We start from the raw sequence: 14,750 nt of genomic DNA, 5'->3' as shown, positions 1-14,750 counted from the left end.
CCATGTTGATAGGATCAGTTACTTCCTCTGACTTTTCTGCTAAATGTTTAGTGTACCAGCACCGAGGTTTAGGACACGCTGAGGTTCATGTTAGGGTAAGAGAGAAGCTTGAGGTAATATGCAATGCTGCCCTCTTTCCCCATTTCTACTGCTGTTGGGAATTGATTCGTTCTTCACCAGGCCTTATCCCTATCCTGCAATATATTGATAAAGGGTAGATTTAGAAGGCATACTGCCAAAGTTCAAATCCTGGCTCTGCCATTTAGTAGTTGTCTTACTTCAGGCACAAATTATTTAACCTGTTGGTGCCTCACTTTTCTTATCTATTAAATACATCTAGTAATAGTACCTACCTCATAGGAATGTTTTTAGAATTAAGTAAGTTCATGTATTTAAAGTGCTTATCACAGCGCCTCGTTCCAAGTAAGTACTAGTGTGTTTACTGTTACCATCATTTTCATCATTATTGGCAATTGTGAGACTCTTAAGAGTGTTTTTGCAGAGTTAAAATATTAGGTGTCGATCCTCTTTTAAAATGTTTGCCTCTAAGGACCTTGACCATTCCAATTCCAGTTCCATCCCTACACTTGTCTAAGCTAGCAGGGGGAAAAATTTTTTTGTTTTTGGAGGAATATTTTAATTAACATAACTCTGTGTGTTTGTATATGTGTGATTTTTAATAATTCACAATAGTGCATTTAGATTGGGGGACAGTAACCTATATTATTAAAATTCTTTTGCAGTTGTATATAATTGTAAATTTTATTCTTTTTCAATTAATCTGATTTTAGTTAAAATAATTACTGGAGCATTTTAGTTACACTAAACATATTTCACTAGTACAACTACATGATTGTTTAAATATACTCCTACGAACTTACTGGGAAATTCAAGGACCATATGTTTTTCTTTGGGAAAATATGTTTGCTGATCTGTGAACCGATGAGGACTCGGTGGCTTTTGGAAAACATCTCTCTCTTCTCTTACTACAGCACCAATCCATTATTAAAGATAAAGGCTGGGTCAAGCCCAGTGCCTCACACCTGTCATTCCAGTGCTTTGGGAGGTTGCATAGTAATCCTAGGATTACTGTGCAAGGTGGGAGGATTGCTTGAGGCCAGGAGTTTGAAACCAGCCCGCTCAATGTAACAAGAGCGTCATCTCTACAAAAAATGAAAAAATTAGCTGGGCATGGTGGTGAGCACCTGTAGTCCTAGCTACTTAGGAGGCTGGGGTGGGAGGATTGCTTGAGACCAGGAGTTCAAGGCTGTAGTGAGCTATGATCACACCACTGCACTCCAACCTAAACAATAGAACAAGACCCTGTCTCTTATTATTTAAAAAAAAAAAAAAAAAAAGGATAAGGGATAGAAGACCAATACAAAGACATCTTGTCTCTCACTCTGATTATGTGATTATAACCATAGCAACCACTGGCCAACTAGCCCACAGTGGAAGGAAATCTGGTGGCTCAAAACTTTCTATGCTTTGTTAAAGATTTGTGATTTTTCCATAGGAGATTTACAATAGGAGATTGCCTTCGTCAGCTTAATATTTTGGAAAAGTAAATGATTTTTATGTCCCAGGATGCTATTATAGGAGAATTGGGTATCTGTGACCAGTGTAATATTAAATTTATTTTTCTTCTGCTCAGAATTAGTTTTTGCAAAAGATTATAAGCATAGATAAGTACACATACACACATTAACCTTAGTGAAGTAATTATTGGGCAGATAAAAGGAAAATGCCCAATTCAAATTATAGAAATATAAATATGCACATATGTGTATGTATATATATTAATATACACACACATACACATATCTACATACATACCCATTTATCCAGAGGAGAAGATACACTGGAAAATTCTTTTATTAAACCTTAATACAGTTAAAAATTAGTAGTATTTGTTTTTATTTTCTATTGGAAAAATTTCAGTGGTATTATTACTATTATTATTTTTCCCCAAGATGGAGTCTCGCTCTGTCGCCCAGGCTGGAGTGCAGTGGCGCGGTCTCAGCTCACTGCACACTCCGCCTCCCATGTTCACGCCATTCTCCTGCCTCAGCCTCCTGAGTAGCTGGGACTACAGGCACCCGCCACCACGCCCGGCCAATGTTTTGTATTTTTAGTAGAGACGGGGTTTCACCGTGCTAGCCAGGGTGGTCTCGATCTCCTGACATTGTGATCCACCCGCCTCGGCCTCCCAAAGTGCTGGGATTACAGGTGTGAGCCACTGCGTCTGGCCTCAGTGTATTATCTTAATAGAAATATTGCGAATTCATATAATTACTTTTCTTTCTTATTGATGTAAAAGAAAGCAACATCTTAACAAAATTTTTTCTTATAGGCTGGCATGTATGAAGCAGTTAATGAAGTTTACAAAGTACTTATTCCTATTCATGAAGCTAATCGGGATGCAAAGAAACTATCCACAATTCATGGTAAACTTCAAGAAGCATTCAGCAAAATTGTTCATCAGGTAATGATTCCAATTTCTAGCTTCACTATAAAGGGAAAAAACTGTCTGAAAGCATTAATGTTGTTTTGCACTGATGTCAAACTAGATCCCGTGAAATGACCATTTTAATCAGACTACAAATGAGCGGTCAAAATGATAGTTCATGGCCAAAGCAAAGCTCATTAACAATAAAAATGAATTCACCTAAAGTAAATGGTGATCATCATAAACTTTCTGCATAGCTTTTTTTTTTCATTTTTGAATTATTAATTAGCAAGTTTTTAAAAATTGTGATTTTCTGTTTCACAAGGTAGATCATAGTTGTGAATCTCATTTTAAAATTGATACCTATTCCTTTGCTGTGAAAATGAAGTTTTTATATTTCAGTTTTTTAAATTAAATGATGTGAAACTTTAATAATTAAACTACTAATATTTTTAATGACTGCAACTGAACTTTATTTTTCCTAGATGTTTACAATCATCCTTTGATATATTTCTAATACAAAAATATTATTTTGTGAAAATAATGAATAAAATGGTTGTCTTAATGTATATTTAATTCTAATAGTATTTCATTACTTAATCTTTGTAGTTCATTATGGAATCTACATATTATCACTAAAATTAGCATCAAATTAAACTTAATTTTAAAATGAAGTACACTACTAGCAGTTGATTTCTTTGAAACTAAATCCTTGGCTTCATTGAAATACTGCAAAATATCCTATCGAGTCTCCTCCTCCTCCACTTTTCTGTTCCCTTCCCCGTGCTACCCTACTGTTACCTACTGCTGCTAGTGTCAAAGGAGTTGGAGTATGACTATCCACTTTTGTATTCAGTATTAGTCCTACTTTGTTACCTATCAGCTTGACCTCTTCTTTTTTGCAATGAATTAAGCTGTTCTAAATGAACTGATTAATCTGAAAAGCCTTTGACAGTCTAAAAATAGGGCTGCTATCCTGTTAAGTCAGGATTTTATTGTCATCTATTAAAATGTTAAAGTTGAAAAATATTGATTAGGTTTCATGACCATGACAGGTAGGTCTTTTAATAATCAGTTGTATATATACTATCACAGGAACCTCAAGCCAGTTTCTAGAGCTGTAAATTGCAAATTATAAATGTTAGGTCTGGAACATTTAGAGCTAGTCGTTTCTGAGAAACTTTTAGCCATTTGTGTCGTTGGCATTTGAGCAGAGTTGCAGTTTGTATTTTAATTTATCCTGGATACTTGGTGAAGTGCAGCTCACCTTAGTTAGAGATCTTACTTAAACATGTAAATGGAACAAGCTGCTGGCTCTCTTTCCCTAAAATTTGTACTTTCACTTAAAGTTTTTAAAAGGCAAAATTTTAGCCACTGGGTTTTGACCAAGCAATTTATGAAATTATTGCAGGTCTTAAGTAAATGAATATGCTGTTTAAAATATCCTGCTGTCTTCTGTTTGTGGAGAAGAATTTATGGTATATGGTGCCTTTGGCCTTTTTTGTTCTTTCAAACAGTTTTTTTATGACTTGCCCTTTTTTACTTTTTATTATACAGAGTACTGGCTGGGAGGTAGGTAATGTTTTAGTTAGTTAAAGACACTAATAGATTGATTTTATCAGATTTCTTATGCCAATGCTTTGCCCACATGTGCTAGCTGTGGGCATTCTGTTGCTATCTGCTATCAACTGAATTCATTAACCAAAGAAATTTTGTTAAAATATTGTAAGTTATTTTAAGAAATATCTTATTATGAGGTCGTAGGCAGTGCATGGAAATCCATATGTTACACTAATGAGATTCTTTGGTAAATGAGCCACTTTGTCATCACTTTAGTTTTTACCCTTTGAAGCATTTCTCTCATCAACATTTATACACAGATTTCTTTTTTTAACCATATTGTTTCACCTCATTTTACAGAGGTCGATTTATGTGTTATTGCTCAGAGGTGTAAATAAAAAATACTCTATTTCATCTGATCTCAGATGGCATCAATTACAAAACATACTAGTATTTTATATGCCTTTAAGAAAGGAAAAAAAAAATCCCTGTGTATTAAACCAGGATATCCTATTAGTTGAAAGATGAATACCAACTACAAAAACATTAAAATGTGAGCAAAAAAAGTACATTTTAGAATTGATGAGATACTGTGTTAATTTGATCTTGAGTCACTTCACCTTGACTATGAGCACTACTGAGGAAAGAAATTCACTTTTGTCATTTAATTTTTGTTGGGGAAAGGGATAAAGAAATTAAGAGAACTTATAATTTAATTTGACCTCGTATTCTGACAGCATTTGATATATTGTTTGATAAGACTACACATGCTTCCTTTTATGTAGTAGTTAAGACTCACAAAAAGTTATATGTAAATACAATCTTACCCGAAAAAAATGCCAGGAAGAATTGATTACCATTATTTTAAACGTTTCTGCAAAGGAAATAATTCTATAAAATATGCCCTAATTTATTTTGATGAGGTAAAGCAAGGTAGTAATAAGTCAGGTTTATTTAAAGCTAGGTATATTTGTAAAGTTGTGTGCTTTGCCTCTCACTTGTTGTCAGATTTATGTTGATCGAACACTTAGGCTTCTCTTTTTGGGTTTGCATTGCAATCCTTGTTTTAAGACCCAAATAGAAAACCTTGGGAATAAATATTACTACTGAGTTTTCCTCTATTTCTGAAATAGTACCCAAGTCTTGTTTTTCTTTAGATGAAGCCAGTACTTTTATAAATCTACCTTAATTCTCTAGATTAAATGTATATGACTGTATCAATACTCAAAATATAATCCTCATTCCTATGGCTCAGTTAAGACATACATAAAGAGACTTGCCATGGTTATCTATGAATGATAAAACTCCTTATAAATTTCCTAACATTAAATAGAATTAGTTGAAAATTAGGCATAAAATAATAAATTGAAACCTCTGAGCAGTTTATTACTAGTTTCCGTGATGCTAAATCGACCCCTGAAAGGTATAATTTTCACTGGTTATGACATTAATATCATTCTGTCATCATGTTTATTGCATGGTAAAAGTCTCACAGACTTTATTTTCTTGTTATATACTTGTCACTACCTTTTACTGGACCTTTAGCTTTGTAGCTGCTAAATTTGTTGCACGTTTGTTTTTTGCTTTTCCTTTGTAAAACTTAAATGGATGCCTGCATTTAAAAAATGTGTTTTCTACCATTTGCTGCTTATTTGTTTTGAAATTTCTGTAATTAAAATGCTTTCTGTTTTCTCTTCTCTCTTGTCCCTGGTTGCTGACCCTACTCCCCACTTTTACTATTGTCTATTGTGGTAAGTTCTATCTTGTGTATATTTTTCTTTTTGACTCGATGAAAACTTCAGTAATTTTGTTTTTTCTAAAAGCAATGTTTCCTAGCTAATTTTCTAGTATTCTGGTAGATCTTTCACTGGATTGAAGTCCAGTAAGGATAATCTGTGCATTGTAGAAAGGCTCTTTGAATTGATAACTTGCTCCCCAACTTACAGGAAAACCCCATCTGGGCTTATATATTAGTCACATGTTTCATTTTTTTATTGTGCTCCTTGATTTAGTGCAAATTATTTGAGTTGGCAAAGCTTTTTAGAAGGGTGTGTGTGTGTGTGTGTGAAAGATAACTCTAAAACTTAGTATTTCAGTAAAGTCTTTACCATGCAAAATAATAAATCATGAACCTTTCGGGAGTCATGTGGCTGTTATCTCCTCTGGTAGTTTCAGTTCTTTAATGGCTGTTTAGTGTTCACTTTTATTTTTACTTTTCCCTCGAAATAGTAGGAAGTAAAAGCATGTTTGTTGTCTTTTAAAATTTTTGTTTATGAGATGGGGTCTCACTCTGTAATTCAGACTGGAGTGCAGTGGCACGATCACAGCTCACTGCAGCCTTGACACCTCCTGAGTTCAGGTGATCTTCCCACCTCAGCCTCCCGAGTAGCTAGGACTGTAGGCGCATGCCACCAGCTAATTTTTTGTATTTTTGTAGAGACAGGGTTGTGCCATGTTGCTCAGGTTGATCTCAAACTCCTGGCCCCAAGCAATCCACCTGCCTCAGCCTCCCAAAGTGCTAGGATTATAGGAATAAGCCACCATGCCCAGCCTAAAAGCATGTTTTGAACTCTTCTTTTTTTATGATTCATATTTAATTATTTTTAGCAGAAAGAGAAATGTTAAATTTCTGTATGAAAATTTTTATAACCACTTTCTATGTTATGTATGTATATATACATATATATTTTTGTAATTATGTTTGTACCAGCCTGGACAACATAGTGAGACCATCTCTACAGAAAATTAGAAAAATTGGCCAGGTATGGTGTTGTGCATATGTACTCCCAGCTACTCGGGAGGCAGAGGCAGGAGGATTGCTTCACCCCAGGCATCAAGGCTGCAGTGAGCTATGATGGTGCCATTGCACTCTAGCCTGGATGACAGAGTGAGACCCTATCTTAGGGTCAGGGTTAAAAAAGAAAAGTTTGTTCAGTTATCAAATAGTGACGAATTTGTATTCAGAAGTACACTAATACAAGTTTAAATTTTTCAGAAAAATCAATCCCCAGTGATAACATAGTCATGTGATACTTTTTTTTCCATTCAAAGATCACAACATATTTCTTTAAAGAACACCACTACTCTAGTAAAGTATATCTTACATTTTCTGGAAAGGCTAGAGAAGATCTCTACTAGATCCCTAAGGAAATATAGATTACCCTAACTTTTGAGATTGACAGATGCAAATTGACTATATCTTAACTCTCATTATTGGACTGAATGGACATGAATGTGAGCCAGTATTTTGGTTTTTATATGTTCAGAAATACTGGCCATAGTTCTGGCTCAGTGGCTTCTGTTGGATTTTTATTTTCTTCAATCCACACTAAAGCTGAGTGACATAAAGTAACACATCCAAGCAGTTAAAAGATAGAACAGGATTAGAAACAGCAAATTATAATGAGCAGGGCGATCAACTCTGAAAGAGGGAAATGAAATAAAAATTCAAGAATAGAGCATAGTGAAAACAAGTACTTTTGGGTAGTCAAGTGGGTAAATGTGACACTCTAAAGGAGAAAGTAAAACAGGTCAGGCACAGTGGCCCACACCTGTAATCCCAGCACTTTGGGAGGCCAAGGTGGGAGGATCGCTTTAGTTCAGGAGTTTAAGACCAGCATGGTCAACATGGCAAAACCCATGTCTCTACCAAAAAGAAACAAAAAAAATTGCTGGGGCATGTACCTGTGGTCTCAGCTACTTGGAAGGCTGAGGTGGGAGGATTGCTTGAGCCGGGAAGGTAGAGTTTGCAGTGCGCTGAGACCATGCTACTATGCTCCAGCCTGGGCAACAAAACGAGACCCTGTCTCAAAAAAAAAAAAAAGAAATCAGAACATTGTAGGTATAAAACATCCATGAGCCTTTACCTCAGAAAGGTAAAGTTAGATATGAAGAAAGTTAAGGAAAACATAGTAAATGGGAAGAATCTTAGTATCTCTAAGAGGAGATACTTTCTGGTAGTTAGTGACTCCCTGATGACTGGTATAGACCCATAACTGAGCACCTGATAATATATCCCATACCACTGATTTTTTTTCTGCCCCTTATGCTACTTTTGAGAAGAAAAAGAAAGATATGAAAGCCCAGCATGGTGGCTGACACCTGTAATCCCAACATTATGGGAGGCCAAGGCGCGATCCTCGCTTGAGGCCTGAAGTTTGAAACCAGTCTGGGCAACACTGAGATCTCATCTCTACCCAAAAAAAAAAAAAAAAAAAAAAAAAAAAAAAAAAAAATTAGCTGGGCATGGTGGTGTGTACCTGTGGTCCTAGCTACTTGGGAGACTGAAGCAGGAAGATCACTTAGGCCCAAGAGTTTGAGGTTACAGTGAACTATGATCACCACTGCACTCTAGCCTGGGTGACATAGTAAGACCCTGTCTTTTAAAAAGAAAGAAAAATATGGACAGCAAATATTTACTATGTAGATGATATTAGATGTGGTTTCTTTTTTTCGGACTGGGACATAAAATGGTCAGATATGTCCTTCTGATAAGAAATGGAGTACAATATATCTTGGAAGAATGTGTTTTGTCAGTAAGCCACCAACCTGATTTTTATGCTGAAGTATAAAGGATATGCAAGCATGCAAAAATAATTGCAGTAGAGGATGAAATATAGAGGAAAACAACATAGGGAAGGAGGTAATCCTCAAAAGAATTTCTTGAGGAAATTTGTAAGAATTCTCAAGAAAACACCAGAGAAGTGGATGATAGTTCAGGGGTTATGCTAATGTCCTGGTGTTTATACCAGTATATATAGAATATGGGGAACATAAAGCTTAATTAAGAGCTTGAGGCCGAGCGTGGTGGCTCATGTCTGTAATCCCAGCACTTTGGGAGGCTGAGGCAGGTGAATCACCTAAGCCTGACCAACATGGAGAAACCCTGTCTGTACTAAAAATACAAAATTAGCCGGACATGGTGGTAATCCCAGCTACTTGGGAGGCTGAGGCAGGAGAATCGCTTGAACCCGGGAGGCGGAGGTTGTGGTGAGCTAAGATTGCGCCGTTGCACTCTAGCCTGGGCAACAAGAGTGAGACTTTGTCTCAAAAAAAAAAAAAAAAATGCTTAGAGTCGGGTGTCAAATATATTAGAGTTTAACTTCCCACTCCACCACTTACTAACAGCGTGACCTTGGGCAAGATACTTTTCCTCCTCTATAAAATGAGGGTGAAAATAATTTAATCTATCACATAAAGTTGTGATAAGGATTGATATAATACATGTAAAGTGGTTAACCAGTGTCTAGCACATAGTAAGTACTCAAAAAATGTTGAAAGTTGTTATTTTTGTTGTTAATATGATTTAATCATAATTACTATTAGAAATCTTAACACTAGTTAATAAAATCTAAGAGGTTTTATATTTCCCAGTTGAGATCTGCATCTAGAAGTGAACTGGTAAATGCTCTTTAAGAGGAATAAACCTAGTAGAAGGAAAGAAAGATCACCATTGTGTGAAATACTGGTATGCCTATATGGAAATCAGTTAACTTAAAGGAAGCATTGTGGAAAACAACTGGGAGAGGATAAAAGAAGTTAGAGAAATGATGTCACTGTGGAAATATACAACTAGTCCATCGGAATGTTTCTTGCTAAATAAAGACAACAAAACTAAAATAGATTTATGATATATTTGTCATAAGAGGTTTGAACCATTTAGAAACATGGTAGATGGATTTCTTCGTCCCGGACATAGTCTTATCACCCAGAGGATTGTGGAAGCAGTAAGTAGAATCGCTAAGGAAGAATAAGCTGTATTGTGAGGAGTGATAGAAAGTTCAGAAAGGATTCATAACAGTAAAGAAAGGTAATGCTAGAAAAACAGCCTAATTTATAGGAAAGTTTTTTGTTTTTGTTTTTTTTTTAATTCAAAAGAAAAACAGGTATCATCCTGTGGTCCAAAGCTCTGAAGAAGAAATAAAGATGAAGTGAGTTTTTCCTGCAGGCGAAGCAATATGACTGTGCTTCCGTGAAGCATACTTCCGTAGTAGTTTGACACTAGAGGGAGTGTAAGTTGAAAATAGTCAAATTCTCAGCCTTTCTTTCTCTCTAGCCTCATCCCCTGATGCTCTCTCCTCCACTCCATTCTGCACACAAACATTTATTTTTAAATATCCAGTAACTCCTTGTAGTTACTTCTCTAACCTTATCTCATCCGATTCTACCTGTTTGCTTACTCTGCTCCAACCACACTGCTTACCTTCCTGTTCCTCAAACACACTCGGTAGGCTTTAGCCTCCTGATCTTTGCACTGGCTCTTTCCTCTGCCTGGGATGCACGTCGCTCAGGGATTCACATGAATAAGTCTTCCATCTCCTTCAGTCTTTGCTCAGATGAAACCTACCCTGACCATCTTCTTTGTCCCTTTTGTTCACAGATTTTTTTTTTTTTTTTTTTTTGAGACGGAGTCTCGCTCTGTCGCCCAGGCTGGAGTGCAGTGACGCGATCTCGGCTCACTGCAAGCTCCGCCTCCCGGGTTCACGCCATTCTCGTGCCTCAGCCTCCCGAGCAGCTGGGACTGCGGGCACCCGCCACGGCGCCAGGCTTATGTTTTGTATTTTTAGTAGAGACAGGGTTTCACCGTGTTAGCCAGGGTGGTCTCGATCTCCTGACCTCGTGATCCCCCCCGCCTTGGCCTCCCAAAGTGCTGGGATTACAGGCATGAGCCACCGCGCCTGGCCTGTTCACAGATTTATCATAAATATCTAGAACAGTTTGCTAACACATAGTAAGGGCTCAATAAGTATTTGAATGGATGAACGCTTTCCCTAATATTTGTATCTGCCTTCCCCTGACCCTCTATCAGTGTTCCTTCCTTCCCTTCCCTGTCCACTTGGCCGTTTATTTTGAGTAGAACCCTATGCATTACCTCTGTTGTGACTTACTTGCAACAAGATTAATCTTCCCTTATACCTCTTTTTAGTATAGCATATATCCCTTTGTTTTGTAATTATTTGAATACATTTTTTACTCTCTTGGGAAGCAAGTCTAACTTATTTTTACTTTCCTATTACTGAAGATGAACAGTGGCTAACATAATAAACACCCATTAATTATTTTTCCTTGAACCGAATGTCATGAGAAAATATAATAAAAAGAGGTAGGTTAGTTTTAAGCTACCTTAATAAAATTCAGTGTTCAGATTGAAGGTGACATTGAGCCCAGCAACACACCTTCATTGGTCAGATCACATCAACAGTATTATGGTTATATCTGGGATATCACACTTTAAAGGATGGCATTGTAATAAAGTGTCAACAGAGTAGAAATTACTGTCATATGAAGATTGAAAACTGGAAAGTTTAACTAAAGGGAACAAGTCCTAATTGTTATCTTCAAATATTTAAAGGGCCACAATATTGAAGAATTGGAATATTGTTTTAAACTGGAAACCTCTGAGAGGAGGACAGCCAGAGTAGCAGCATATTAATATTACAGGTCACACCTGTAATCTCAGCACTTTGGGAGGCTGAGGCAGCTAGATCACTTGAGCCCAGGAATTCAAGACCAGCCTGGGCAGCGTGGCAAAACCCCATCTCTACAAAAAGTACAAAAAATTAGCTGGGTGTGGTGGCATGCTTCTGTAGTCCTAGCTACTCAGGAGACTGAGGTGGAAGGATCGCTTGAGCCCAGGAGACAGAAGCTGTAGTGAGCTGTGGTTGCACCACTGTATTCCAGTCTGGGTAATGGAGTGAGACCCTGTCTCAAAAAAACTAAAAACTAAAAATAAATAAAAAACAAAAAGTAGGAATGTATATGTATATATGTGTATGACATGTTTTGAAAAAAATGACAAATTTTTAAGTAATTTTCTTAGGTTCTTTTTTTTATTTTTCATGCAGTGCCTTTATTACTTAAGTCAGAATTTACTATTATTATGTTGTTCTTTTGGCTTACTTATGGTTTTAATCAGAATTTTAGTTGAATCATTCAATCTATATAGATGGATTAATTTGCTGTAGAAATCAGTTAATTTTTATGTGTGTTAAATTTTGAAATAAAGTAACTGAAAAAATGTTTTTAAATTAGAAGCCTCAACTTTCTTTAGCTCCAAATACATTTTTCTTTAAAACTTTACATGTTTTTGGACAAAAATGTAGGGATATTTTTCATCACTATACCTTTTTTTTTGGTATTATAAAACTGGTAAATTAAGGATTAGAGCTTCCCATTTTGCTTAATTATGTGTGGCATTTCTAGCTTATTTTATATGCCCTTTTGCTTTTTCAGTATAGGAAAAATAAATATAAAGCAGATTAGGCTTAAAGAGAATTCAGAGGTATTTACTTACTTGTAATGCGCATATAGGCACCACCAGAGAATCCTAAAATAATTTTGTATCTAAATTGTAAAAATTAGCTGAGCAAGGTGGCACACACCTGTAATCCCAGCTACTCAGGAGGCTGAGGTGACACTTTTTTAAAAAAAATTGTAAAAATTGCATAGAAAGTGTCCAAATATTTATCTTTATTGAAAGAATTTGTCTTCTGATATGCTGTGTGAGAGTTAAGGTGATCTTAATGTACTTTGTACCTGACATGAATGTGTAGTTAATGCATGCCAATGGGTGGTTTGGGTGATTTAGAATAACCAACTCATCTCAAAAATTTTTTACTTATTATCTTTCACTCATAGATTTTTTTTTCCTTTTCTGTTCCATTTTTAGTAACTCTTCTACATAAAAATTTTTTACTGGGCTGGGTGCGGTGGCTCACGCCTATAATCTCAGCACTTTGGGAGGCTGAGGTGGGTAGATCACCTGAGGCCAGGAGTTTGAGAACAGCCTAGCCAACATGCTGAAACCCGTCTCTACTAAAAATACAAAAATTAGCCAGGTGTGGTGGCATATGCCTGTAATCCCAGCTACTCGGGAGGCTGAGGCAGGAGAATCACTTGAACTTGGGAGGTAGAGGTTGCAGTGAGCCAAGATTGTGCCACTGCACTCCAGCCTGGGCAAAAGAGTGAGACGCCATCTAAATAATAATAATAATAATAATTTATTGGCACAGGGCTGCTAATTGTAGAATTTTTGCATTAGTGCTTCTGGAGGGTCTTGACATTTACATTGCCTGCTCTATGCCAGGTGCTATCTTTGACTCCTAACTTTTACAATCTCATTTAATACGTGAAGAGGTTATATAAAGGCTAATGCTAATTTAAAAATATGTAAGTGTTGTTTTAAAATTTAACTTGACCTAGTATGCTCTAGTATCAGTACAATTAAGACAGTTTATATCAAGCATCTTTTCTTGCAATAAGGAAAATGAGTTAATTTATCTCAGTTATATAGATTTAAAAAACATAGACCAATGTGATAGAGGCACTTCGTACAAACTCCGAAAAATATTATATGTGATTTAGTCACTTGTTAGTAGCCCTATTTGCATACTTATTTGTTAGAAATAATGAAAAAGGAAAGACTGTTTACTTTGTTTAAACCTTCATTTAAAATATTATAATTTTGAATTAAAACTTTTTGCAATGTTTTGGAAATTTTATGCTGTAACAATCTAAACATAATGTGAAAAACAGGAAGATTTCATATTAAAGTTTCTCCATTTTCCTAAACCTAGGATGGTAAGCGGATGTTTGGCACCTATTTTCGTGTTGGTTTTTATGGAACCAAGTTCGGGGATTTGGATGAACAAGAATTTGTTTACAAGGAGCCTGCAATAACCAAACTTGCAGAGATATCTCACAGATTGGAGGTGAATGCTGTGGTGGTTCATAAAATGTCATCTTTAGTTTGTATTCTCTCTGATGATTAGACTTTCAGATCCAGATCTAATCATTTAGTAAGCCAGATCTTGCCAAGTAAACTACTCCGTTAGAGAATAAGGACTTTTAATAGTTACAATAATACTCTTTCAAATCTTTTATGGCAGCAATAAAATAGTAATATTGTCTATTTTTTGAGACTATTTTCACACATATTTTAGAAACCCCTGTATCCTTCAGAATTACTGCGACTTAACGGAGAAATATATAGTATAATCCCACATTTTGTTGAAAAAGACAAAGAATTAAGTAGTAGCTAATAATTGAACTAGAACCAGAACCCTAAGAAATTTCTGACCCAAGCATATTATCTCTTTGGCTTAACTGGTTCCAGGTGAGGTATCTTTAGAACGTAAAAGCCTGAAATCACACCTTAAAAACACTTCCTTTAACCTTTATAATTTCTTAATTTTCACCATAAATGATTGCGTTTTATATTTACTGGGCTAACTAGTATTTTCTGTTATAGTTATTCTTTCCAACCTTTCTCTATTTTTGTTACTCAAAGTGTAGTGGATGGACCGGAAGCATTGGGTTCACCTGGGAGATTGTTTGAAATGCAGAACCTCAGACCCCACCCCAGCCCCTGTGAATCAAAGTCTGCATTTTAACAAGATCCCCAGGTGATTTGTATTCACAAAGAGAAGTAGTGCTCTGGGCTTGTTTTTATTCTCACTGATGTTAATTTCTTGAATGTTATATTCCTATTGGTGACTTCTCTGGCCAAACTGACATAAATTGGCTCAAACTGTGACTTTTTATTTTTCAAGAGGTTAGGTGTAAGTCTTGGGAAATATTAATTGAGACTTACTCAATTATAAAAATTACCTTTGGGATAGCAGTGGGGGTTTCTCCTTTGAAGATTCAAATTCGATTTTTCCTTTTGAATAGCTTCATCCTTTACCCATGCTGCTGCTACTCAGTGTCATATGGAGTAGTCACTATATTCTTGACCTAAGGT

The 14,750-nt window shown here is 36.0% G+C and overlaps 1 protein-coding gene across 14 annotated transcripts in view, besides 3 other annotated features; it reads left to right on the top strand.

Moving 5' to 3' along the window:
- The window catches only part of DOCK7 (dedicator of cytokinesis 7), a 233,661-nt gene that overhangs the window by 196,968 nt on the left and 21,943 nt on the right, over positions 1–14,750 (top strand). For 4 of the 14 annotated variants that reach the window (NM_001272000.2, NM_033407.4, NM_001330614.2 and 1 more), the window contains 3 exons: positions 2,354–2,485; positions 4,007–4,021; positions 13,594–13,719. In NM_001272000.2, coding sequence (NP_001258929.1) covers positions 2,354–2,485; positions 4,007–4,021; positions 13,594–13,719 — 273 coding nt within the window. Of the gene's footprint in view, positions 1–2,353; positions 2,486–4,006; positions 4,022–5,765; positions 6,151–9,894; positions 9,994–13,584; positions 13,720–14,750 lie in introns of those variants that run through there. The other 10 variants (XM_047432967.1, XM_047432966.1, XM_047432964.1 and 7 more) reach the window with 4 other exon arrangements.
- Positions 10,079–10,579: an enhancer, noted in NCBI's record as "H3K4me1 hESC enhancer chr1:62946511-62947011 (GRCh37/hg19 assembly coordinates)". NCBI's record gives its function as "activates a minimal SCP1, AML or CMV promoter by ChIP-STARR-seq in naive H9 embryonic stem cells {active_cell/tissue: H9 hESC(naive)}" and the evidence as "EXISTENCE:reporter gene assay evidence [ECO:0000049][PMID:30033119]".
- Positions 10,079–10,600: a biological region, named in NCBI's record as "H3K4me1 hESC enhancer GRCh37_chr1:62946511-62947011".
- Positions 10,445–10,600: a silencer, noted in NCBI's record as "fragment chr1:62946490-62946645 (GRCh37/hg19 assembly coordinates)". NCBI's record gives its function as "represses an EF-1alpha promoter that drives an FKBP-Casp9 reporter gene in an ReSE screen in K562 erythroleukemia cells {active_cell/tissue: K562}" and the evidence as "EXISTENCE:reporter gene assay evidence [ECO:0000049][PMID:32094911]".

Source organism: Homo sapiens, chromosome 1 (assembly GCF_000001405.40).
Source record: "Homo sapiens chromosome 1, GRCh38.p14 Primary Assembly".
Lineage (NCBI taxonomy): Eukaryota > Metazoa > Chordata > Mammalia > Primates > Hominidae > Homo > Homo sapiens.
Note: the sequence above shows the minus strand (reverse complement) of the source record. Positions and strands in the feature narration are given on the sequence as shown.